Below are 27,686 nucleotides of genomic sequence, written 5' to 3' on the forward strand. Positions count from 1 at the left end.
AATCTAGAGGCTTGGTAATTTTCTTGTTCAGAATTTTTAGCAAGAATACCTATTGGGTGATTCTCTGTACTTCCTGTTGCATCTTATCAGGAGGCACATAATGGAGTGACCCATTATAGTACATTGTAATATATGATAGGCTGGTCCTTGACTTTTAGGATCTCTGTTCTGGTATCTCTCTCTTTTAAAAATGATCACTTATAGTTTCTGTACATTTGTTTTTTCACCTGTATTCTCTCATATTCTCTTCATTAATAAAAGATTAACAGATAAAACTCCATTTTATAGATTAATTATAGGCTATGGAAAATTGTTGTTTATCTAATGCCATAGACTTTTAAGTTTCATAGCCCCAATATTGGTAAATTGTCGAGTACTACAGTTCTTTGGAGTGTTTTGGATCATGTGTAACTTTGAAAATGTAATGGAAGTTGTAGACCCACTCACTGGAAAATATGCTTGAAAGCTCCTACAAAATTTGGCGATTTCATTTCAGTAGGTTTAAAGACACCCTCTGCTATCTCCACTCATCCATGAACTTCAGTTAAAGACCTCCTACTTTGGCTTATTCTTTAATTCTTATTCTTTCCTCCTACGATGGCTTATTCTTCTTACTTCTATCTCCTGGCCATCCAAGATGGGTGTGTGTGTTTCTCTGTTTCTGGACTTTTTGTATATACAGTGATTGGATGTCACTCTACTTCTCTGCCATACTGCTGTAATGGTAGGTTTTTTTGGTGGGGTTGGGGGCATAGTCTCGCTCTGTCGGCCAGGCTGTAGTGCAGTGGCACGATCTCGGCTCACTGCAACCTGTGTGTCTCCCGGGCTCAAGCAATTCTCCTGCCTCAGCCTCCCAAGTAGCTGGGATTACAGGCATGTGTGACCACTCCTGGCTAATTTTTGTATTTTTAGTAGAGACGGGGTTTCACCATGTTGGCCAGGCTGGTCTAGAACTCCTGACTTCAGGTAATCCACCCACCTCTCACCTCCCAAAGTGCTGGGATTACAGGCACAAGCCACTGCACCTGGCCATAATGGTAGTTTTTTGTTTTGCTTTGTTTTGTTTTGTTTTGTTTTTTGAGACGGAGTCTCGTTCTGTCAACCACATTGGAGTGCAGTGGTGTGATCTCGGCTAACTACAACCTCTGCCTCCTGGATTCAAGCAATTCTCTGCGTCAGCCTCCGGAGTAGCTGGGATTACAGGTGCCTGCCACCACGCCCGGCTAATTTGTGTATTTTTAGTAGAAACAGGGTTTCACCATTTTGGCTAGGCTGGTCTTGAACTCCTGACCTCATGATCCAGCTGCCTCGGCCTCCCAAAGTGCTAGTGCTGGGATTACAGTCATGAGCCACAGTGCCTGGCCTTTTGTTTGTTTGTGTTTTTTGTTTTGAGACAGAATTTCGCTGTTGTTGCCCAGGCTGGAGTACAATGGCGCGATCTCGGCTCATTGCAGCCTCCACCTCCCAGATGCAAGCAATTCTCCTGTCAAAGCCTCCCAAGTAGCTCGGATTACAGGCATGCACCTGGCTAATTTTTTTGTATTTAGTGGAGACGGGGTTTCACCATGTTAGTCAGGCTGGTCGCAAACCCCTGACCTCAGGTGATCCACCTGCCTCAGCCTCCCAAAATGCTGGGATTACAGGCATGTGCCATCACGCCTAGCCTTGGTAGTATTTTTTTTTTTTTAATCAAAAGCAGTACGGTTGAGATGAGAATTTTCTTTGAAAATTAATATCCCTGACATAAATGTTTTTCAGATGTTTATACATCATGAGGAACATCCTTTTGTTTGTATTCAAAGGATTCATTTGAACTGATTCACCTATCAGTTCAAATAATAAATAAAACTGTATCATATAGCTTGGTATCTAGCCTGTAGTACAGCTTGGTCAAATTAAGTGCCTGATCATTTAGTTTGGTTTAGTTGATGCACCTGCATGTTTCAAAATTTTTATGTTGAGGTGGTGTTATCGCATAGATCATCTGACTTCTCATTTTTTGTATTTTTCTTCCCAGCAATCTGCAGAGCGCTGTGTAAGCACATTGCTTGATCTAATCCAGACCAAAGTGAATTATGTGGTCCAAGAAGCAATTGTTGTCATCAGGGACATCTTCCGCAAATACCCCAACAAGTATGTCCAAATACCTTTACCCCTCTTTCTCAAATTACTTAGGAAATGTTTAAGGCACTTTGAAATTGCCTAGGTAAGAATTACTCTTTTGAATGTTCCTGGTCATAATAGGATACTTTATCAAAAATCGGAAACATTAAAATGGTTAGCACAGGGATTAAAACCTGAGTTTTCACTCTGCTTTCTTTCTTTAGGAAGAATTGAAGCTCTGCCTGAATATGCATTGTCTATTGGCATATTTTAAAGTTAACCAGATTCTTTGATGGCAAAGTTACTGTTAAATAGGACATCTATATATTCTAGGTTGTTCAGGCATAATCTCAGTTTATACCTGTTATCCAGACATAATTAATGATTGTGCACCTTTTCTTCTCAGAAATGTATAAGTTTGGATGATATATCGTATAGCACCCTACCATAAAAGCCAGGAAGGGAACAGCTGTGCTATTTACTTTGCATGTTACCTACTACATTGTGGAGAATTACAGAACATGTAACATTATCAGTCTCATGCCTTTTCTGAAGTATTGTAGTTATTCTCATACAGATATATAAAAAAAAATCTGCATTTTTACTTCACAAGTTTTTCAGATTGAGGGCCTCTTAGTATATGAAGCAAAAATACTTTTTAGATTTGATTTTTGAAAACAAGTAATTAAGGAATCTGAAAATGAAATAAAAGCAGGTTTTATAAGCATCTTAAATCTCATTTTGCCTTACACTCATAGAGCTTCTGATTGTCTTTTTTGAGATGGAGTCTCACTCTGTTGCCCAGGTGAGTGCAGTGGTGCGATCGCAGCTCACTGCAACCTCCGCCTCCCGGGTTCAAGTGATTCTCCTGCCTCAGCTTCCCAAGTAGCTATGATTACAGGTGCATGCCACCATGTCTGGCTAATTTTTGTATTTTTAGTAGAGACGGGGTTTCACTAGCCAGGCCAGTCTCGAACTCCTGACCTCAGGTGATCCATCCACCTCAGCCTCCCAAAGTGCTGGGATTACAGGCATGAGCCACGATGCCCGGCCCACTTCTGATCGTCTTTAAAGATAGTGTTAAATGAAGCAGCTTGTAGTAAGTTAGCTTAGTGGTGGGCTCAAGAATTAGTAGATATATTTTGGCAAGGTAGTGGTTTATTAAGCATTGTGTATATTTTTAAAATTTTAGAAATAGTTATTTTGGAAAGAGAACCACATACTTTTACTACTCTCCCAATAAAGAAGAGGGTCGGTTTCTAAATTTTTTTTTTTTTTTGAGACAGTCTCACTCTGTTGCCCAGGCTGGAGTGCAGTAGCGTGATCTCAGCTCACTGCAACCTCTGCCTCCCGGGTTCAAACATTCTCCTGCCTCAATCTCCCGAGTAGCTGGGATTACAGGTGGCTGCCACCACACCCGGCTAATTTTTGTATTTTTAGTAGAGACAGGGTTTCACTGTATTGGCCAGGCTGGTCTCGAACTTCTGACCTCAAGTGATCCCCCCCACCTCGCCCTCCCAAAGTGCTAGGATTATGGGCATGAGCCACTGTGCCCAGCCTAAACTTTTTTTAATTAACTTTTTTGTTTGTTTGTTTTCAGACAGGATCTCACTGTGTTGCCCAGGCTGGACACATACTCCTGGGCTTAAGTGATCCTCTTGCCTCAGCCTCTCCAGTAGCTAGGACTACAGGCCTGTGCCACTGTGCCCGACATTTAAACTTATTAAGGGTGAAGATGTGTATCTGAATGTGATTGGTAGAGAAATGTATCCATTTCTGGTTTATGGTTAATAAAGAGTTAGGACGGTTTATGTTTAAGAAAGCAATCAAGAGCCTGGTTTAATCAGTAAAAGTAGGCAGATACTTAGTTAAGTGTGCTATTTAGTTGTCCACATCTAATTTATTATACAGGGTCATTCTAATCGTTAAAACTACATTAGCCAAGGAGATGGATTCAACATGGTAAGCCTGAGAGAGCTGTAGATATGTAAAAATAAATATTTTAATTACTTCTTTCTTTGGAGAAATAAGTCAGTGCAGGTACCTTTAGAAGAACTAACATAAAGAAAGATCTCTTTGGGGCCAGGCGCGGTGGCTCACGCCTGTAATCCCAGCACTTTGGGAGGCCGAGGTGGGCGGATCATGAGGTCAGGAGATGGAGACCATCCTGGCTAACATGGAGAAACCCTGTCTCTACTAAAAATATAAAAAAATTAGCCAGGCGTGGTGGCGGGCACCTGTAGTCCCAGCTACTCGGGAGGCTGAGGCAGGAGAATGGCATGAACCCGGGAGGCGGAGCTTGCAGTGAGCCGGGATCGTGCCACTGCACTCCAGCCTGGGCGACAGAGCAACACTCCGTCTTGAAAAAAAAAAAAAAAAAAGAAAGCTCTCTTTTATAAAAAGCAGAGATAAGTGGATTAAGGGACAGATTTACCATTTCTTGTCTGGACACTGTTGTTGTCTAACTTCATTTGCCTAAAAATAAAGTGGAATTTCTGTTCCTCTCTACCATGAAGGCAAAATGGAACAATAGGAAAATTTTCTAATGTACTTATATGAAAGATTGTTACAAATACAAGGTAGTGGTATTATCTTACACCACAGGTTAATTTTTCCTTGTAAAAATGGCAGTGTGGCTCGCACCTGTAATTTCATCACTTTGGGAGACCAAGGTGAGAGGATCACTTGAGGCCACAAGTTTGAGACCAGCCGGTCAACATAGCAAGACCCCCATCTCTACAAAAAAATTTTTAAAATTTAGCTGAGTGTGGTGGCACTAAATTGTAGTCCTAGCTACTTAGGAGACTGAGGAGGGAGGATCGCTTGAGCCCAGGACTTTGAGGTTACAGTGAGCTATGATCATGCCAATGCACTCTAGCCTGGGTGACAAGAGTGAGACCCTGTCTCCCTGTCTCAAAAAACAAAACAAAAGAACATCTGATGAATTTTTATAAAGGTTTTAAGGTCTAGGTCTTAAAAAATAATTGAAGGGAAATTTAAGTCATTAAAATCTTCTGACTTAAAACCTATTCATTCTCTTGACTAAAAGCTTTTACAGTTTGGTGGTTTGGTTTAGGGTCCCTTGTTTGTGGTTTTGCCTTTAGCCTTCACTGTTAAATTAGTTCTTAGTTTTGCCCTCAATAACCATAGTTCATTTTTTTTCATCAGGTATGAAAGTATCATCGCCACTCTGTGTGAGAACTTAGACTCGCTGGATGAGCCAGATGCTCGAGCAGCTATGATTTGGATTGTGGGAGAATATGCTGAAAGAATTGACAATGCAGATGAGTTACTAGAAAGCTTCCTGGAGGGTTTTCACGATGAAAGCACCCAGGTAAGTTCTTGTCTCTTGTCTATCCTAGTAGTTTTAGATGTCTTTGGGGAGATTTCAGAGAAAGCAAAGGTTATAGGCAGTTTCTTCTGTGTCTGTATTTACATATAGTATGTTCATTTTTCTCCCAACAGGGATGTCTCTTCTCAGTTTTACTAATTTTTTGTTTTTGTTTTCGAGACAGAGTCTCGCTTTGTTGTCCAGGCTGGAGTGCAGTGGCAGGATCTTGGCTCACTGCAACCTTTGCCTCCTGGGTTCAAGCGATTCTCCTGCTTCAGCCTCCCAAGTAGCTGGGATTATAGGTGTGCACCACCACACCTGGCTAATTTTTATATTTTTAGTGGAGACAGGGTTTCACCATGTTGGCCAGGCTGGTCTTGAACTCCTGAACTTAGGTGATCCACCCGCCTCGGCCTCCCAGAGTGCTGGGATTACGGGCATGAGCCACTATGCCTGGCCAGTTTTACTGATTTTTTTTTTTTTTTTTTTTTTTTTTTTGAGACAGTTTCACTCTTGTTGCCAAGGCTGGAGTGTAGTGGCAGGATTGTGGCTCACTGCAACCTCTGCCTCCTAGGTTCAGGCGATTCTCCCACCTCAGCCTCTCGAGTAGCTGGGATTACAGGCATTCACCATCACTCCCAACTAATTTTTTGTATTTTTAGTAGAGACAGGGTTTCACCATGTTGGCCAGGCTGGTCTCGAACTCCTGACCTTAGGCGATCCACTTACCTCGGCTTCCCAAAGTGCTGGGATCACAGGTGTGAGCCACCTTGCCTGGCCAGTTTTACTGATTTCTAATGTTAAAAACCTACATAACTCAGACCAGTAGTTCTCAAACTTCAGTGAGCATTATTAACACCTGGGGGGCATTTTTAAAGCACATGTTGCTGGGCTTCACCCTGAGAGTATCTGACTCAGTAGGTCTGAGATGTGCCTAAGTATTTGCATGTCTTACAAGGTTCAGGGTGATGCTGCTGCTGGCAATCCGGAACCACACATTGACAACCACTGGCTTAGAGCAGTAGTTACCACTACTTTTTTATTTTCTGTCACCTAAGAATGACTACACATTTCTGTTAGTAATGGCTGTGGCTCATTACAGCAGGGATTTTCGCTAGAGGCTGTGGTGAGGTTTGAAAAGATTATCTTTGGATGAAAATTCTGAGACTGCTTCTCACTTTCCCCTACCAAAATTAGAGCCACAGAACCAGGAAGCCAATAAATTATTAAGCCCTTTTTTCTTGGCATTTGTACTCAAAGCAAATAGAAAATAATGTATGTAATCTACTATAGCAATTTTAATAGACCTAATTCAAGGAGTATGTACAAGTCAATAGCTTTGTGGTTTAGCAGCCAACTCCTAATAGGCTGTAATCTGACATAATTCTACTGTCTTGGCTCTTGCCCCAGTACGACAGATGATTCCATAATTCCCCCCAAATTGTAGCTTTTGGTAGAAGTAAATAATGAAAGACTTGCTCAGGAGCCAATTTTATCACCATCAGTATGTTAACATATACTTTAAGAAATACAAGCCAGGCTCGGTTACTCATGCCTGTAATCCCAGCACTTTGGAAGGCTGATGCGGGAGAATCGCTTCAAGCCAGGGCTATGAGACCAGCCCTGGCAACATTGCAAGACTACATCTCTACAAACAATACAAAAATTTTAAAAATTAGTTGTAGTGGCTTGCACCTGTAGTCCCAGCTACTTGGGAAGCTGAGGCAGGAGGATTGCTTGAGTCCAGGAGTTTGAGGCTACAATGAGCTATGGATGTGCAGCCTGGGCAATAGAGGGAGACCTTGTCTCAAAATAATAATAGTAATAATAATAATAATAAACACAGGTAACTATCTGTCTTAGAAACAAGCAATATTTTGTGCCAAAAATGCATTTCGAGGTTAAAAGGGTAGAGTTTTCGGTTGAATACCTTTGTATTTCCCACGAATACTTTTGACTGCTGTTGTTGATATTGATTGAGTTTCAGCCTTTTGTCTCTTAACCAAAATCAGAAAGGCTCCATAGTAATTCATAGTTGGGGAAACACCACTTTGGAGATGATGGCAGGGAATAATGCCAGTGCCATTCTTTCACACTATCACAAATTATGTCTGTTTAGGTGCAGCTCACTCTGCTTACTGCCATAGTGAAGCTGTTTCTCAAGAAACCATCAGAAACACAGGAGCTAGTCCAGCAGGTCTTGAGTTTGGCAACACAGGTAAGAAATCTGGAAAAAGCAAGATGTTGATTTGTCTTGTTTCAAATTGTAGGAAATTATGAAACTCTTCCTAGGGGATTCATTTGGGGAAGCTTTATTTGAAGGAAGTATGGCCTTTAGATCCTGTTAAAATATTAAAACAATGCCTTTTTACGTGTTCAACTGAATTGTAGCTAATTCTGTGGCTTTTAAATGAGTTGACTGATTCCAGTTTTCATAATTCATGAAAATTGAACCTAGACTCTTAGTTTAGTGAAGGACATACTTAGATGAAAATGACGTGATCTGATAGTACCTGCTTCACTGTGACTTCATTTCAGCTTTCAAATGAAAGTACCATGTGGAGATAATAGATGCCTCAGTAAAGTTTCATGCATTGTTCTACCTTCCAGAGTAGTTGCCTTTCTCACAGAAATTAAGTGTTTATGCTGCTTCCTTGTATTATTTGATATATTTGGATCTCCTTGGAATTATTTGTTTTTTTAGGTCAGAAGAAAAGAAGTTTAGATGGATTCAGATCTCAGGAAAGTGGCAGCTGGCTTTAAATATCAGGTCATTATATTAGATCCACAGAAATCAAAATAATTAGGTTTTCTAGTGTAACTAGTATAATGATCATCAGTCCATTGATGATTTAGTAATGTTCATAAATGGATTTGCTAACAGGCCGGCTTTTTAGCAGGCTGTCAGAGTTACGATGTGTGTCTGCAAATGGAATATGATTCAGATATCCAGTTTACCATTTTTCTGTCTTTGTCATCCCTTTATACTGGTGTGTAATCAAAATTTAAAACCCTTTCACAGTACTTTGCCTAGTTCTGAGCCATAATTTTTCCTGTTACTACAACTTAAAAAAATGTATTTGTATGAGCTTTTTGAAGTATTTTAAAAACTTTCTTAAGCATCTTCCTCTGCCTGAAGCAAAGCAATTATAAACATCAGTGGTTAATATTATCTGTATTGAATTGAGCATTCTAATTTCCTGGATCCCATTTGCATCTCTAAGATGAATTCAAAACAATTTCTTTATTCCTCCCACACCCCCCACAGCCTTTTTTTTTTTTTTGTACTCTGTTTCATGTTTTAATTTTAAACTCCTAAGTCAGGAGTGTCCAGTCTTTTGGCTTCCCTGGGCCACATTGGGAGGAGAATTGAGAATTGTCTTGGGCCACACATAAAATACACTCACAATAGCTGATGAGCTAAAAAAAAAAAATCACAAAAGAATCTCATAATGTTTTAAGAAGGTTTACGAATTTGTATTGGGTCACATGTGGCCTCAGGTTGGACAAGCTTGCTGTAAGTGGTCACATAGAATGACATTATTAGAGCAGCTCACATTCTGTCAAAACAATTTCTAAAGAGAATTTTGGCCTTTCTTCCTCTCTGCTTACTGTAAATATTCAAGCAAGTATGTTTAGTAGTTTCCTCTGTTTTCACAAGTTCTCAACCTTATCATCATTGTCTGTTAAAGCCTATGTGATTGTATTTAACAGGCACCATAGGAGAGCTGTATTACGAATTCTGGCCAGACTTCAAACTCAGTCTCATTACCTCTTAAGTATTTATCAAAATTTGACTGAGATAAAGTATTTAGGAAGGATTGCTTAAAGGATACAAGGTAGTGCTGTTCTTACAGATAGTCTGAAATTCACCTCTGAATCAAGCATTATTAATAGACATCTGGATACCTGGACTGCATTGTTTTTGACCCCTAATAAAATTGCTTTTACTAAATTACGCTGATACTAAAATACTATCAGTCTGTAGTAATAACAGTCGTCATGGGAAACTACCCTATTTGGATCTGTTGTTAGCTTGTTATCAGAGTCATTACTTACTTCATTATGTTTTCTTCTTTATGAAGCCCCATCAAATTTCTAACAAGTTTTGGATTTTTCTGTGTATCAGTGTAGCATGCCTGATCAGCTTTCTTTTCCATATTGGTTGTTTGAAACCTTAGAATCACATTTAACAATCTCCCATGGAAACTATGTAGGCCACTGTGGCATGCAGTTTCCTGACTCTGGGTTTAATTAACGCTCTTTAGCCTTAGATGCATTTTTCATAAGCTTCCTAGAACAGGACAGGCTAGAAACTCACTTAATCCTAGTAAGGGTTAGTAAACGATTTCTATTTTATAGATGAGGAAACTCAGAGAGGCCTAATTATTATGGGGCAGAACTAGGACTCAGACTCAGATAGTCTGGCTCTAGGTCTTGCCCATGGTCTTGTCCACTGTGCTATGCTTCCTCTCTAGTCTGAAGGTTAAGAATGACTTGGAGAATACCTATTCCCTGCCTGAAGCAATATTGAGCATAAGCCCATATGTATATGTGTGTTTGCTAGTTTTAAGGTCTTTGTGGATGATTATTTCATACTATAAATAATAAGCAACTTCTCGAGGCTTGCCTTTTTTCAAGACTGAGTCTAGCTCTGTCACCCAGGCTGGAGTGCAGTGGCGTGATCTCGGCTCACTGCAACCTCCACCTCCCGGGTTCAAACAATTCTCCTACCTCAGCTTCCTGAGTAGCTGGGATTACAGGTGCATGCCACCACGCCCAGCTAATTTTTTTTTTTTTTTTTTCCAGTAGAGATGAGGGTTCACCATGTTGGCCAGGCTGGTCTTGAACTCCTGATCTAATGTGATCCTCCTGCCTTGGTCTCCCAAAGCACTGGGATTATAAGTGTGAGCCACAGAGCCTGGCTGAGGCTTGCTTTTTCTGTCCAATTAATTAATGAAGTCTGAGAAGTTATCATAAAACAGTAAGTATGCTGCTGGGTGCTGTGGCTCACACCTGCAATTCCAGCACTTTGGGAGGCCAAGGCGGGCGGATCACTTGAACTCAGGAATTCGACCAGCCTGTGCAACATGGCAAAATCCCATCTCTACAAAAAATACAAAAATTAGCGGAGCATAGTGGCACACGCCTGTAATCCCAGCTACTTGGGAGGTTGAGGTGGGAGGATCGCTTGAGCCCAGGAGGCAGAGGTTGCAGTGAGCTGAGATCATGCCACTGCACTCCAGGCTGGGTAATACAGCAAGACTCTGTCTCGGAAAAAAAAAAAGAAAGAAAAAAAGAATAAGTATGCCTATGTAAGTCTTTTTACCTGGAAGTTTTCTGTTTTTTCCCCAAGTTTGTGAAATAAGAACCTAAATATTTATGGCTAGTGAGTACCAATTTAAGTTTAGGATGCAATGTGGTCGGCTGAATTGTGTTAACTTAAATTGGTATATGTGCTGCCGAAGCGAGCACATGTTAACTTAAATTGGGTAGTGAGGTTCTGATGATGCTACTTCCACTGATTCTGGACATGACTGAGCAAATTTCTTTCATACTGCTTTTCTTCTGTCTCTATAGTAGAGTTAATTAATACTGTTCTTTACCTGTGCTGAGAATTAAGTGAAGTATATGTGAAATCTTAGTGCTTTTAAGTAAAATGGGAGTATAATTAAAAATATTATTAGTTAGGGGGAAAAACCCAACCCTTGAATCTGAGGCTTCATTTCAAAAATTTATCTTTTTCTCTTACCTGTTACACAGAAATTCAATACAATATTCAGTTCAACTGAGTAAAGAATACAAACAAAGGCCGGGCATGGTGGCTTATGCCTGTAATCCCAGCACTTTGGGAAGCCGAGGCAGGTAGATCATCTGAGGTCAGGAGTTCGAGACCAGCCTGACCAAAATGGAGAAACCCCATCTCTACTAAAAATATAAAATTAGCCGAGCGTGGTGGCATGCGCCTGTAATCCCAACTACTCGGGAGGCTGAGGCAGGAGAATCACTTGAACCCGGGAGGCAGAGGTTGCAGTGAGCCAAGATCGTGCCATTACACTCCAGCCTGGGCAAGAAGACCTAGACTCTGTCTCAAAAAACAAAACAAAACAAAACAAAAAAATGTCTAGACGTTAGTAATTATTCTTTGTGATACATGGAATAGAAGTCTTCATGTTTTTCTGTCTATGAACTAGGGGCCACCATCATCAGAATCATTTGGGCTGCTTGTTAAAAATACTAATTACTAGGCCCTACTTTTGATGTAATGAATCAGAATCTCTGAAGTATGGCCCCTGGGTTCTGCACTTTCAGTGGCATTCCTGGTATGTTAAAATGTTGATGCACATTATAGTTTAAGAATTACTGTTTTAGTGCTGGCCTGGTAAGTATTGTTTTGGGACCTCTTCCCCTGAGGAAGGCCTATGGGTCTAGCAGTACAGTAGATCCAAAGCCAAATTATCTGAGTCACCAAACATTTAATGGCAACTTAAGATTACAAAAAGGTCCTGTATTTTTATTTATCTCGGTCTTGACGGTCTGAATTACTGTGGCCTCCATGTAAAATGTGAGGCAGTTGGTGAGGACTGGCTTACAGTAGGCCTAACAGGTCATCCCTCAGAACGACAGAGTTTGAGCAGTTAGGAGATTCTTCCCTACTCCTGACTTTTCAGCCTTGGGAGATTTGCACTCATTTCTCATAGGATTGTATTTTTCAAGTTAGTGTCTGTTTAGACTTTGATCCAGTAACTCTATCTCCAGTAGTTTGCCATATTGCAGCATTTTGAATAATCTGTAGAGGAACTCTCAAATTTTTTTCATATATATATAATTTTTTTTTTTTTTTTTGAGATGGAGTCTCACTCTGTTACCCAGGCTGGAGTGCGGTGGTGCAATCTCAGCTCACTGCAGCCTCCTCCGCCTCCTGGGTTCAAGTGATTCTCCCTCCTTAGCCTCCCAAGTAGCTGGGATTACAGACATCTGCCACCATGCCTGGCTAATTTTTGTACCCTTTGTAGAGATGGGATTTTGCCATCTTGGCCAGGCTGGTCTCAAACCCCTGGCCTCAAGTGATCAGCCTACCTTGGCCTCCTGAAGTGCTAGGATTACTGAGCCACCGTGCCTGGCTGAGATTTTTGAATTTTGTGAATCCCTATAGGAATTTTTCTTTTTGGTCATTTGGTTAAATTGTTTACATTACATATGGGAGAAATAATTTGAAGAAAAAGCATTTTATTTTGATGAGTATATTATTAAACTATGTATTATAAAGTTGAATACCTTTAAGATATTACTAGTCCATAAAGACAAACTGAATTTTCTAAGTTAATAAGATAAATGCAGTGTTTAATTATGTAATAAAAACCATACTTTACAAATTCTAAAGTACATGTGCCTTAAGGACTGCATATATAGGTTAAAATTTAACGTTTAAGTTACATATAAAAAAATGTGGGAGAGAGGAGTTGCTTCCCTGACCTGATATTTTGAGAAACTTGTATTCTGCTCTTTTAAAAATATCAACTTGTTTTTGTTTTATAATGTTCAAGCTTTGTTTTCAAATGAAGATCTAAATGAGGAGGTTTCAGGCTGCTATTTATAAACACTTAGGAGCAAATTAGTCCCTCAGTGCCCCCCCTCCCCACACACACACAAACAAAATCAACTAAATTAGATATAATTATCACTGTTTCTTTTTTTTAACCCGGGCATTTCAAATACTAGAGACATTTTGATAAGACATTCATATGTATACATATACATATACACATACACACATTTCTATTAGAATAATGCAAGTTATAAATGTAAAGATTATCTTGAGATAAAATTTACTGTTTTAATATTTTATTAATTTGCTGTATTGCAATGTTCTATATGCTTTTCGTCTTTAACCACCAATCCATTATGAGTGCAATTTAAACAATCTGTGACTGAGAAAAACCATTTAAATCTATATAGTCAAAAACATCAGGGTAACTACTGCTATTGAACTGGATGATAAGGGCCTTAAGTGGCTAAATCGTGAATCAATTCATCTGCTCGCTTAGAAACTAAAATGGAAGCCCTCAGATTGTCCTGTTTTAAAGAAAATGTTTTTTGTTTGGTTATGAGTTTTTTGGGTTTTGGGGGTTTGTTTTTTTTTTTTTCTTTTGAGACAGAGTCTCACTCTGTCATCCAGGCTGGACTGCAGTGACTTGATCTCAGCTCAATGCAACCTCCACCTCCTGGGTTCAAATGATTCTTCTGCCTCAGCCTCCTGAGTAGCTGGGACTACAGGCATGAGCCACTGTACCCGGTCTGGTTATGAGTTTGAAATATAGAAATTGAAACAGGGACTTATTGTTGCCTTTAATAAGTTGCTGTTGGAACAACTCGTGCATAAATAAATGCCATCATATAGACATACTTTTGAGGTAGGTACCAGGATATTTATTGCCACTTTATAATGATGACAAAAACAATAAAGAAAACAATAGGCCAGACACGGTGGCTTATGCCTGTAATCCTAGCACTTTGAGAGGCTGAGGTGGGCGGATGACTTAAAGTCAGGAGTTCAAGACCAGCCTGGCCAACATAGAAAAACCCTGTCTCTACTAAAAATACAAAAATTAGCTGGGTGTGGTGGTGCGTACCAATAATCCCAGCTACTTGGGAGACAGAGGCAGGAGAATCACTTGAACCCGAGAGGCAGAGGTTGCAGTGAGCCGAGATACGCCACTGTACTCCAGCCTGGGTGACAGAACAAGACTCTGTCTCAAAATACATGCATACATACATACATACATACATACATACATACATACAAATAAAACAATAATAAAGGTAGAAAGGGAAAAATGGGCAACAGTGAAAATGTCCCTCAATAGTGGACTAATAATTAATGGTGCAGTGGGCATTACAGTGGAAAAGTGCAGTCGTATATATCAACATGGAGAGCAACTTCAGAACAGTATATATAATATGAAACTGGTTTTATATGAAATAAGTGTGTGTGTGTGTGTGTGTGTGTGTGTGTGACCCATCTGGACAGATATATACCACATTACTAATCATGGCTATTTGGGGGATTGGGAGTTGAGATGGAGAAGGGTTGGATAATTGGGGGAGATTTTTTTTTTATGTCACACACTTAAAAATTGTGATGTGGTATGTTTGGTAATAATTTCTTTTTAGCCATGAACATGTATACAATTATTTAAAAACCACCATAGCACAAAACAAGACCACCAAATTCAAGTGTTACTCCTTTTGGAAGCAGTTATGTCCTCTCTTTAGCAGTTTTTGATTATTTAGATAATAGTACCTTTCATACTCTATTGAAATAGTTAATATTACGTGAGCTCCTTAAAGTCAGGCAGTGTATTGTTACCTCTTTATTTCCAGGGCTTAGCCAGTGTCTCAATAGGAGATACTTAATAAATATTTGAATGAAGGAAGAAGGTATGGGTACAATATATGGAAGATATAATATATGTTATTAATAAGCCTGCTAATATTTAAAGCAGTTAAAAAAAATTTCTTTTTTTTGGAACGGAGTTTTGCTCTTATTGCCCAGGCGAGAGTGCAGTGAAACAATCTCGGCTCACTGCAACCTCCGCCTCCCGGGTTCGAGTGATTCTCCTACCTCAGCCTGTTGAGTAGCTGGGATTATAGGCATGTGCCACCTTGCCTGGCTAATTTTTTGTATTTGTAGTAGATACGGGGTTTCACTGTGTTAGCCAGGATGGTCCCAATCTCCTGGCCTCAGGTGATCCTCCCGCCTCGGCTTCCCAAAGTGCTGGGATTACAGGCGTAAGCCACCGCGCCCGGCCCTAGTTTAAAAAATTTTTATGTCCTAAGGCCGTCTCAACCAGTTAACTTTTGCCAGATTAAACATTGTTTTTCTATTCTTTATTTCTGTTTGAATTTGAGTCTTAGGATTAACCCATCTTAATTTATAGTTACATCCCTTGAAACATTAGAGATTACAGAATTATGACTATATTAGGACCATGTTGAGTTAACACATTTGTTTGCTTTTTGAGACAGAGTCTCACTCTGTTGCCCAGTCTGGAGTGCAGCGGTGCAGTCATGGCTCACTGCAGCCTCAACCTCCTGGGCTCAAGTGATCCTCCTCCCTCAGTTTCCTGAGTAGATGGGACTACAGGTACATGCGGCTCTACACCCCGCCCTGATAATTTTTGTACTTTTATTATTATTATTATTTTTTGAGACAGAGTTTTACTCTGTTGCCCAGGCTGGAGTGCAGTAGCGTGATCTCGGCTCACTGCGACCTCTGCCTCCTGGGTTCAAGCTATTCTCCTGCCTCAGCCTCCTGAGTAGCTGGGATTACAGGCACACGCCACCAAGCCCAGCTAATTTTTGTATTTTTAGTAGAGGTGGGGTTTCGCTATGTTGGCCAGGCTGGTCTCAAACTCCTGATCTCAAGCGATCCGTCCACCTTGGCCTCCCAAAGTGCTGGGATTACAGGCATGAGCCACTGCGCCTGGCTGGCCCTGATGATTTTTTATATTTTTTGTAGAGGCAAGGTTTTGCCACGTTGCCCAGGCTGATCTCAAACTCTTGGGTCCAAGTGATCCGCCTGTTTCAGCCTCCCAAGGTGTTGGGATTACAGGCATGAGCTATGAGCTACCACATCCAGCCTGAAGTATCTTCTTAATACCCAGTCTGCATAAATCACTACAACATTGGTTGATGATAAATCCAGCAGTTTGGGTTTCTGTATGGAGAACAGTTTCATCTCCACCTCCTTGCCTTTGCCTTTTCTTTAGGATTCTGATAATCCTGACCTTCGAGACCGGGGCTATATTTATTGGCGCCTTCTCTCAACTGACCCTGTTACAGCTAAAGAAGTAGTCTTGTCTGAGAAGCCACTGATCTCTGAGGAGACGGACCTTATTGAGCCAACTCTGCTGGATGAGCTAATCTGCCACATTGGTTCTTTGGCCTCTGTGTATCATAAGCCTCCCAATGCTTTTGTGGAAGGAAGTCATGGAATTCATCGTAAACACTTGCCAATTCATCATGGGAGGTAAGAAGGTGTGAACTGTCTCTGAGTGAGAAATGACTCTTGTTTAGACAGCGTTGCTCTTCTTTATGCTTTTATAGTCTGGAAAAGAACTGCTGTACATTTTTGCTTCTTTATGCTTTTATAGTCTGGAAAAGAACTGCTGTACATTTTTGGACACCTACTACTATACAACCCCAGGGAGCTCCATCTGAATACCAGTGACCACACATAAAATCGGTGAAAGACTCCTCTGTGTTCCAATCTAGGAGTACATTATGGCTTTAGAAAATTGTGGTGAAGACCTTCTAAATTGATAAAGTCTGAAAGTTGCTTAAGTCTGCAGTAAGAAGAGACTAGAAATAACCCCATAGTTGAAAACTTGGAAAAAAGCCTGTGTATACATTTAGCCATCTTGATCCATTACTGTAGCTTTTGTTGAGCCTTCTGGATAGTTAGCAGGTATAACTTATGCTGTAAAGCTGTTAATGAAATAATATTTCAGTATTGTTTTATTTAAAAAAAAAAGCCTGACTTCTATGTGGACTTAGTTTTTCAGTTACCTGTACTTTTTTATATTGGCCATATCAGCAAGGAAATTGTTATGAAAAGGCTCTTGGGTAACATGGAGCTCTTGCTTTGTAGCTATCTTAAAATTCTAATTAGGCAGAAGAAACACTCTAATAAACTCTTACAATGGGTATCTCAGAATCTTTTCAGAATCTGATTCCTTCATCAATCATAGTAGACCTTGATTGAAGTAGGATTTCCTTCCAGAGTAGTTAGAATAATTGGGCTTCTATTAATGAGTGTCTTGTACCATTGTCTAATATATATTATTGTTTAAGTGGTTTTTGTGAATGGCCAAAGTATAGGATTTATTGCTTTACAAATTGGCGTGGTCAGCATTTTGGGTTCTATGTAAATAGACTGTGGATACAGATAAAGGAAAAAAAAAACAGCAATACCCAAGGAGATTATTAATCTTTCATAATTGAGTTGAATCTTTGGGTTTACAGCAGGTGCTATAATTTTAATCCAGAGGAGATGTGAGCTTCATAAGGATTAGTCTTTATAGTAAGTTAGGGTGTTTCTCCTTGTAGGCAAACATGTTTAACATTCTATAGATGAGACTATTTAACTTCTAAGAATTTCTCCCAGTCTGTGCTTCAAGTTTCGATGTAGATACGGATTTTCTGTTGTAACTTCCCTCTGTAACCGTGTTTGTATCTAGCCTCCTGCTAACTTTTAACCCTCACATGGAAGTGGGGAAATGAATCAACAAACAAAAACAACGCTTTCTTAAACACAGGGAGAGAACCAACATTTAAACTGTCTAAAAAGAAAGTGTCTTACATAAGGCCTTTATCTGATTAATAGCCTTTAAGTTCTTATCTTCACAATTTCTTTTGTGGTTCCTTTTTGGATAACCTCCTTTTTGTCATTTGTGCATGTTTTGTGTTTTTTAAAAAAATGCAAGTACAGGGAAAATCTGTTTTGATATAAATGGGAATGATACGTTGCTGCAAATGACATGTCTGTAATAGTATTGACATTACCTAGCTCTCTTCTGCAATGTGAGGTTAATAAGTGATACACCTCTCATAGGAAACAAAGCAACACTTTAAACCTTATTCTGCATCTTCTAGAGGTTTAAAAATACTCACTTCACTAGGTCTTTTAAAATCATCTGGGAAAGAGAGAAGTGATTTTTACTTGGATATTGCTTACTATGCTTATACTTGTCAGCTGCTCTATGGGGGTGAGGTAGTAAATAGTTGTCTAATTCAGAAAAATCTCACCTTTAAAAAATATTGCTTTAATGACAGTTATGCAGTTATTTCCCTTAAAATTGGAAATGTCTTTATATTAATTTTCTTATATTTTCCATTGAGAAAGATGTATAATAATGATGTATCATATTCTTGTAGAATCTATAGGATCATTTATATCTTTTCATTGAACTCACTTTATCTTCTCATATTATTCATTCCTTTCCATTAGAGTGAAGAAAAATATGTGCATGATACCTATTCTACCTTCTTTTTAGACATACTGATAGAACCATGTGTTCTGTCACATTTTCTAAATGGTATGTCAGAAGATGACAGAATTTCATGTGTAGAGAATACTCTGTGAAAGATTTTATTTATTTCTTGTCAGGTGTATGAAATCATTTCCCCTTTTTACTTCTTTCTTAAAGCCTTTTCATCATGGCTTCCTGGACACTTTCCTTGTAAATTAGCTTTCCTAGATTGTATTTCTGTCTTTAATCTTTGCAGTTCCATGTTTCTTCTCTTCTCTGATTATTAATCTTGGTTGTATCAAAAGGTTCAATCTGAACCCTTTCTTTCTGTGTTTCTCTACATATTCCCTTAGGGAAATTACCCACTGACCACTAATATATTACAGAGCTTTACCATTTAGACCATGTTTTCAATTGATCCTTGCTTTAATAAAACCTTATGCTTCAGTGATATTGTTATCACTGAAGAAATTTTGTCTCACAGAGGTTGTCGCTTTCCGAAAATTATGCAGCTAGTAATTAATGGAGCCAACACTTAATCCCCTGTTTTTACCACCATCCTACACTGACCCACACCCTCATGATTTCACCTGAGATGTGTATGTGAATTTCTAACCAAGCTTACTTCTCTAGCTCTGACTGCCAGTCCCTTGGTTTTGTTTTTGTTTGTTTATTTGTTTGTTTGTTTTGTTTTGTTTTTGAGACGGACTGTCATTCTATAGCCCAGGCTGGAGTGCAGTGGTGCAATCTTGGCTCACTGCAACCTCTGCCTCCTAGGTTCAAGAGGTTCTCCTGCTACAGTCTCCTGAGTAGCTGGGACTACAGATGTGTGCCACCACACCCAGCTAATTTTTTTGTACTTTTAGTAGAGGTAGGGTTTCACCATGTTATCCAGGCTGGTCTCGAACTCTTGACCTCAGGTAATCCAGCTGCCTTGGCCTCCCAAAGTGCCAGGATCGCAGACGTGAGCCACTGCGCCCGGCTGGAATATGAACAGGTTCTGAATTATCGACCCCAGTGCTCTACCCTGAGACTCTGGGCATGAGCCACCGTGCCCAGCCCAGTCCCTTGTTGCTGTCAGGCTTCTCTACTTGTTTTTCTTACTTATCTTAACAGAATTGAAACCTGCACATATAATTTTTCCTGTCGTCCTTCTAGAGTCCCCTGTGATTATTAGCTAATCTTTTGCTTCTTAGTTTTTGTTTGTGTCAAAATTTAACTAGGCTTTTTTAAAGAAAACATTTGTTTTTTAATTAAATTTTTACAATTTTTTTTACTTTTTTTTTTTGAGATGTAGTCTCGCTCTGTCTCCCAGGCTAGAGTGCAGTAGCACAACCTTGGCTCACTGCAAGCTCCACCTCCTTGGCTCAAGTGATTCTTGTGCCTCAGCCTCCTGAGTGGCTGGGACTACAGCTGCCTCCTACCACTCCTAGCTAATTTTTTTGTATTTTTAGTAGAGACCGGGTTTCACAATGTTGGTCAGGCTGGTCTCAAACTCCTGACCTCAGGTGATCTGCCGACCTTGGCCTCCCAAAGTGCTAGGATTACAGGTGTGAGCCTCTGTGCCCGCCTGTTTTTTTGTTTTGTTTTACTTTTTATCATATAAATCTTAAAATATGCAAGATAGAATGGTATAACAAACTTGGATATACCTATCACTCAGCTTTAGCAGTTATCAGTATCTTGCCAGTCTTATTTCATTTATTGCCCATACAGTTGTTTTTGAGGTGGCTCAAATATTTTAAATCCAATCCCAGACCTCGTATCTCTTCACCCGTAAGTACTGTACTTGGTATCTTTAACAGATAAAGACTTGAAATTACAATGTTATCAAGCCTAACAAAATTGGACATAATTACTTAATATCATCCAATAAGCAGGCTAACCTACTTTCATATTTTCTCAATTGCCATTCTCTAGTCTCGTTTAGAGTTTATTTAAGATCGGCTTTACTTTTTCCTTAAATGTTTGGAGGAATTCACAGTGAAGCCCTCTGAGCCTGGAATTTTCTTGGTGGGAATTTTACTTTTTAAATTGACATCTAATTTATAATAACCTTAGCATTAAGGTTATTGCCTGACCTTTGCACGGTCAGGATACCACGGCCGTTGAACATATGTCACTGGGCAGGCAGTGCCTCTACTACTGGTAATGCTAGCGGTGATGTTTTTGGTAAACAAGCTGGGTAAGATTTGCCGAGTTCCTTTTACTGTTTGTAATCTTTCCTTAGAGCATACCTGTGTTGGATTAACAGTATAAATAATAGGGTGTTTATTATATTGTTTATTAATATTAGGCTGTCAGTGGATTATTCCGGTCTGATATAAGCTTATGCAGTGGAGAATATCTTCATGTTACTTATATTAACATTATTGCTTCTATTAAGTAATAGATTAGTCCAATCTGTTAGTAATAGATTAGCTCGCTAATCTTAGCATTTAGTGCTCAATGAATTTTTACATATGTATACACTCATATAATCACTACCCTGATCAGATATAGAATATTTTCAGCACCCTAGAAGGTTCCTCGTGTTCCTTTACTGTCAGTGTGCACACTCCAGAGATTACCACTGTTCTGATTTCTATCACTATAGATTCATTTTGTCTGTTCCTGAGTGTGCTATAAATGGAACCTACAGTTTTTACTCTTCTGTGTCTTGTGTCTTTTGCTCAACATAATGTGAGATTAATCTGTGTTTTTAGTAGTTTGCTCCTTTTTATTGGTGTGTAGTATTCCATTCCATGAATATACCATTTATATCTTCTATTGCACCTTTGGGTTATTTCTAGTTTGTGGCTGCTGTGAATATTCTTGTATTTGTCTTTTGGTAGACTTATGTATATATTTCTCTTGGGCATATACCTAGGAGTAGAATTGCTGGATCATAGAATAGGTTTCTAATTAGCTGTAGGAGACACTGCCAATTTTCCAAAGCAGTTGTACCAGTGTATACTCTTTCTAGCACTGTATGAGTTCCATACATCTATCTACATTGTCAGCAATGCTTGGTAGTTTAGTTTTAGTTTTAGCCATTCTGGTGAGTGTATAGTGGTGTCTTGTTATAGTTTTAATTTGCATTTTCCTGATGAGTAAAGTTGCTAAGCACATTTTCATGTTACTGTATCCTCTTTTGAGACTTGCCTATTTTTAATGATTTGTCTTTTTCTTAATGATTTGTAGGAATTCCTTATATAATTTGGATGCAAGTCCTTTGTTAGTTATATGTGTTGTGAATATCTTCTCTCAGTTTGTAGAGAATATCTTTTCCCAATCTCTTAATGGTGTCATTGGAAGACATGTTCTTAATTTTAATGAAGTTCAGTTTATTACTTTTTTTCTTTTGTGGCTACTGCTTTTTGTTGAAACCATTATCTTCTCCAAGCTTATAAAGATGCTACTCTAGGTTTTCAACTAGGTTTTACCTTTCACATTTATGTCTGATTTATCTCAATTTTTGTTTACCTTGTGAACCATAGGGGGCCAAGGTTCATTTTTCCCCCACATAGCTATCCAGTTAACCCAGCACCATTTATTGAAAAGATCATCGTTTGTCCTACCTAGTCCTTTTAACATGTCTTGAAACTCACCACTTTCTTTTTATTTTTATTGCCTGTTGAGTTGTTGTTATTTCATACATTGTTGATTACAGTAGCAGTTTAGATTACTCTTAGCTGATCTTCATGTCCATTCTCCTAACTTCAGTCCGTTATACACACAGGTGCTAGAATAATGTTTCTCTAATGTTATTTTTAGTTTCTGTTCTTTGTTCAAGAAATAAAAGTGATTCTGCATTTCTTATCATATAAAAAATCAACTCTTGGCCGGGTGCGGTGGCTCACGCCTGTAATCCCAGCACTTTGGGAGGCTAAGGTGGGCGGATCACAAGGTCAGGAGATCGAGACCACGGTGATACCCCGTCTCTACTAAAAATACAAAAAAAATTAGCCGGGCACGGTGGTGGGCGCCTGTAGTCCCAACTACTTGGGAGGCTGAGGCAGGAGAATGGCGTGAACCTGGGAGGCGGAGCTTGCAGTGAGCCGAGATGGCGCCACTGCACTCCAGCCTGGGCGACAGAGCGAGACTCCGTCTCAAAAAAAAAAAAAAAATCAACTCTCCAGACTAGTTTTCAAAGTTTTATTTTCCTTATTCTCTCTTCCTCCAAATTTTACCAATCCCAAACTCTGCTCCTGCCAATATAATTTTTTCACCACCCCTAAAGTCAAATTGTTCATTTCTGTGCCTTTGTACAAACCTTCTCTTCCTCTTTGGAGGTTTCTCTCTGGTAGTTCCTCATAAAACCATTCCGAGAAGCTTTTAGAATCAGCACCGTTGATTTTGTTGTGTTTCTCTCTCATATCCTATCAATTATGCAGACACACAATACATGTTTCTGCTGTTACACAGTAAACTTGCTTTTTATTCATTTTGTAAATGCTGATTTTTTTGTTGGTGTGTGAGCCATTCAGGGCAGGAACCATATATTTTACAGTTTCTACAGAGAACCATAGAATTCTCCTTACAGTGTTCCCTCATAGACGTTTAATTAAAATTGACCAATTATATTATATAACTGACAAGGTTTACATAATATAATTTATTTTCATTTTAGCAGCTGTATTTTGATAAAAATAAGAATTGCTATTATCTCTTCATGAACATAAACAAATGGTTATAAAATCAGAGAGTTTTTCCCCCTTGTATTTGATAGTTATATATAGCTATATGTTTCACTGTTGTTGCGATGTTATGTCCTAGGTGAAACTGACTTTTCTCTTTTCTCCATTTTATGTGTATGTGACTTTAGCACTGATGCAGGTGACAGCCCTGTTGGCACTACCACTGCAACGAACCTGGAACAGCCTCAGGTTATCCCCTCTCAAGGTGATCTTCTAGGGGATCTTTTAAACCTTGACCTCGGTCCCCCAGTCAATGTGCCACAGGTGTCCTCCATGCAGATGGGAGCAGTGGATCTCCTAGGAGGAGGACTAGATAGTCTGGTAAGCATCTTTCTTCCCTTGTTCTTTTGGTTATTTTTAGTTCTTGATATGCTAGAGAGTTTTAAATTATTCAGCTTTTTAGAACTAGACCTTTCCTTGATGAGCAGTAGTGTCCTTTGATAAAGGACAGGATTCTTTGTCTTTAGTAAGACAAAATTATAATTAATACTGTTCATCATCGGTAATGGGGTATGTCTGCAAGTGTATGGGATTATTTCATTGTCCTGCCTCTAAATAGAACTTTTGACATTTAACCATCCTATTGTTCAGCAATTTTAATGTTTAGTATCTTTTCCAGAGTTTATTATTGTTCCTAGCTCTTAACTCTGGATAGCCCACATAAATTCTCCTTTTGACCTGAACGGCATTAAAGTGACCTCACACAAATCATCCTATTTTGAGGCTTTCAAACCTTTGCCTTTTTAATATTTTATTTACTTATGCCCTAATTCTGAAAGGTTTTGAGGCAGCCTTTTTTTTTCTTCTTCTTCTTTTTTTTTTTTTAAGTAAAATGTACCTTTATTACAGTTGGGAAGGGCTGCTTGATTGGTTCTTTTTTTCCCTTCTTCCCCACCTACTCCATTCTATCATACTTCCAATTTAATTAGCTTCCAGGATTCTAATACTAAAAGGCTCCAAAGTCCAGAATACCTGCGAACATTTGCCACCAATGGGAACCAAAATTATTTTTTGTTTCTGTACAAGATAAATGAATTTTAAGGGTGACCATCAATCTATGAAGAGAAGGCCAGAAAAATAACAAGTCTATTACAAGACTGCCTACATAGTAGGTACTTAACTGTGGTGGAATTAGAGAGGCTTTTCTAGCTAGACCCTTGCAAAAGAGATTTTTGTCAACCCAATGACTATAAAGATGCCCAACAACGATTTATTTACCAATATCATTGGAGGGCTGACATCTTAGATATGAAAATATGTGTTCCCAGAGATGACAGACACAAAACAACTGCACTCTCTGCTGCATATACTGGCATCTTCTCTTCTACTTTATGAGGAGTTTTATGTCTGGGATTTATACCAGCCAGTAGAGGTTCATTTACTTTTTGGCTAGCAGAGAGTCTAAGGAAATAGGGTTATAGTCATATCTCTGTGGGTTGTGCATTTTACTAATGGAAAATCACTGCTTCTAGAATTTATACATTGACCAAGCTGTGGACTCCAGCTTATATTGACACAAATGAGCACTTCTGTTGTCTTTCTTGGGAATATAAGCAAATACTTTTTATATTCATATCTTTAATGATTGAAACTGACTGAATAGCTTCCTCATATGATCATTCTACTTATATTGCTGTATAGCCTCCTTATAGACTCCGGAGAGTGACAAATATTTAAATGTTCATGGAGGCTCCTAAGAATCCCTTATAAAATTAAAATAGCTCTTCCTTTTCTGTTCACATTCAACCACAAATTAAATATTGCATCCTCCTCAAGTTTATTACATTCCCTGGTGGGGAAGCTTAGTAAAGGTGGACTCATTGAACCTAAAAATGAGAAACAAAGTTCAAGGGATAGAGGGGAGAAAGAGGCCCTGCCTTTTCATGTTGCCAGACCCAGGACCCTGCTTGACCCACTATAAACATAGAAAAAAAGAGACATGTTACTTTCATTTGACTTTGTATTAGCTCATGCCAACTCCAAAACCAATGGGTTTTGTCATCATATTTTACATAGCTGCCCAGTCATCTGCATTAGAATTCCTGCAAGTATTGTATCAAAGGGAAAAGCTGTTAGAACCTGCTTGGATTGTAGTAGCCAAAGTTGCACACAGGCCTATTTCCTTTTTTTTTATATAAGGGATATTCTTTTGGGGATGGGAAAGTTGTTGTTTTTCTAATTGGATTTCTAAATATGCAACCTTTGCTAGATAGGCCCAGTTATGTTTTTATGTAACTCTAAATTTTAACATTTCCTGACTTTGGGATCTAAAATGGTATCCTTGGTGTTACAGCCCCAGAAATTGTTTACAGTGCAGTTTTCTTCAGCTTATTCTGAGATTGAAAGATATCCCAGAAATCAAGATGAGAAGAAATTAAAGCCCTTATTTTTGCTTTGGATCCGTATGTGGTTAAATATATATTCACTCAGAGAATCAAGGTTCCTTTTTCGAGAACATCACAAGGAAGACCTAAATTTGCCTGTGTGGAAGAAGATGAGTTTCTAAGGCGGCAGTGGACTTTTAAAATGCTTTTATTGTTCTTATGCAAATTACCTAAAGAGAAGATTAATCCTCAAAGCCATTTTTTGAATGCATCCTTGCCTTACAGAGTGCTTCTCAAAATAAATTATATACCTTGAATCTCCTAAAGATTTTGTACAAGAGAGGGTTTGTTTTGTTTTGTTTAGTTTGTGGAAATGGGTTCTCACTATGTTGCGTAGGCTCATCTTGAACTCCTGGGCTCAAGCAATCCCCCTGCCTTGGCCTCTGGAAGTGCTGGGATTACAGGTGTGTGAGCCAGCACACTGAGCCTGCAAGAGATGATTTAGTTGGTCTGGAGTGAGACCTAGAGTCTGCGTTTCTAACAAGGTGACACTGAAGCTGCTGGTCCATGGGCCACATTTTGCATAGTAAGGACATAGAATATCTTGTGACCACTGTGAACTACTTCAGTTTAGTGTTTGAACTGTAGCTACCTAGATGCTCAGATACCTTTTTCTTTTTCTCTCTCTTTTTTTTTTTTTTTTTTGGAGGTGGAGTTTCACTCTTGTTGCCCAGGCTGGAGTGCAGTTGTGTGATCTTGGCTCACTGCAACCTCACCTCCCAGGTTCAAGCGATTCTCCTGCCTCAGTCTTCCGAGTAGCTGGGATTACAGGTGCCCGCCACCACGCCCGGCTAATTTTTTGTATTTTTAGTAGAGACGGAGCTTTACCATGTTGGCCAGGCTGGTCTCGAACTCCTGAACTCAGGTGATCCACGTCCCTCAGCCTCCCAGATTGCTGGGATTATAGGCGTGAGCCACCACGCCTGGCCCTTTTTCTCTTGACTTCAGTAGTAAACAGACTTCTGGAAAGAGGGCTCCTCCTCTCCCTTAAATTAATTCAGAGGGCAAGAAACTTATTAAATTATTTTGTTAAAGCTCTTTCTTTTGCCCTGTAGGGAGAATAGTGTAGCTAGGAGTGGTAGAATTCAACCCAAACCCCTGTTTAAAATATGGCCATAGTTAGAATTGTGTGGTGGTTTGGGAAGCAGCGTTTAGGTTAGCTCAGTGATCATTTCAGGAAGGCTATCAACCAGGCCACTAGACTGTTGGTTCTATTTTTATCATGGGTTTCTAACAGAACCTCACCCATAGAGGCCAGTGGTGTACTGCTAACAAAGTATTGCCTGGTTCCTGATGACCATATGGTTCTCAACTCTATCTGCAGAATTGGTCCCACATAATTACCAGTTTAAAAAAAAATACTCTCTAGCCATTGAAACTATAAAGAAAAAAAATACTATCAATACTTGAGTCCAGGAGTAATTAAATACCACCTCTGGGAGGCAGGACCTAGACATTGCTATTTTTAAAAAGTTACCTGGGTTATTTTAATCTTGCAGCCAGTGTTGAGAACATTAAACCAAATGAAATTCCAAATGGAGTTAGGTAGAGATGTTAAAAACTGATCTCTAAGCCAAGACAGTGACCGCCACAGAAGAATCATATTCTCGAGATCCTCTTTGGCACCTCCTACAAAAACAGATATCTCTGACTTTACTTTTGTTCTTTTCCCCCTGAATATTTTTCTGTTATGATATTCTGTGAGGTTATCCATCGTGTCAGAAGTTGACTGGAAGTTGAATTTGACCAATTTAGATATGGTCGCTCAGTCCCAGGGTCCTTTTTATCCTTGCTTACTTGCCATAATTGGAGACCGAAAATTGAGGGCATTTTATATTTTGGATTGTCTAACCATTTTCTATTCTTCTATCTTAAAACTTGATATTCATGAGAAGATATTTTTATTCTTCCTTTTTCATAGCCTGGTGATCTTCCCTTAGATCTTGTTCTGTTTCATCTTCTTTTACTGTCACACTCATAAAATTCGGCCAGCGTTAAGATGTAGTGAGTTGTGACCTTTTCTTATTAGGTTGGAGCAAAAGTAATTGCGATTTTTGCCATTAACAGTATTTACTTTTGCTCCAACCTAGTAGAACTGTCACAGTCAGGAAATACTTATCAATTTATTATTTATTTGTTGATATTTCTAGTCAGG

At 39.1% G+C, this 27,686-nt stretch overlaps 1 protein-coding gene across 16 annotated transcripts in view; it reads left to right on the top strand.

Annotated features, from left to right (window-relative positions):
- AP2B1 (adaptor related protein complex 2 subunit beta 1) overlaps nucleotides 1-27,686 on the top strand; it is a 139,092-nt gene that overhangs the window by 47,002 nt on the left and 64,404 nt on the right. For 13 of the 16 annotated variants that reach the window (XM_011524450.3, XM_005257938.4, XM_047435509.1 and 10 more), the window contains 5 exons: nucleotides 2,018-2,133; nucleotides 5,272-5,437; nucleotides 7,554-7,652; nucleotides 16,207-16,466; nucleotides 23,276-23,468. In XM_011524450.3, the coding sequence (XP_011522752.1) occupies nucleotides 2,018-2,133; nucleotides 5,272-5,437; nucleotides 7,554-7,652; nucleotides 16,207-16,466; nucleotides 23,276-23,468 (834 nt within the window). Of the gene's footprint in view, nucleotides 1-2,017; nucleotides 2,134-5,271; nucleotides 5,438-7,553; nucleotides 7,653-16,206; nucleotides 16,467-23,275; nucleotides 23,469-25,440; nucleotides 25,798-27,686 lie in introns of those variants that run through there. The other 3 variants (XM_047435512.1, XM_017024287.3, XM_005257941.4) reach the window with 1 other exon arrangement.

The sequence above is a fragment of the Homo sapiens genome, chromosome 17 (genome assembly GCF_000001405.40).
Source record: "Homo sapiens chromosome 17, GRCh38.p14 Primary Assembly".
Lineage (NCBI taxonomy): Eukaryota > Metazoa > Chordata > Mammalia > Primates > Hominidae > Homo > Homo sapiens.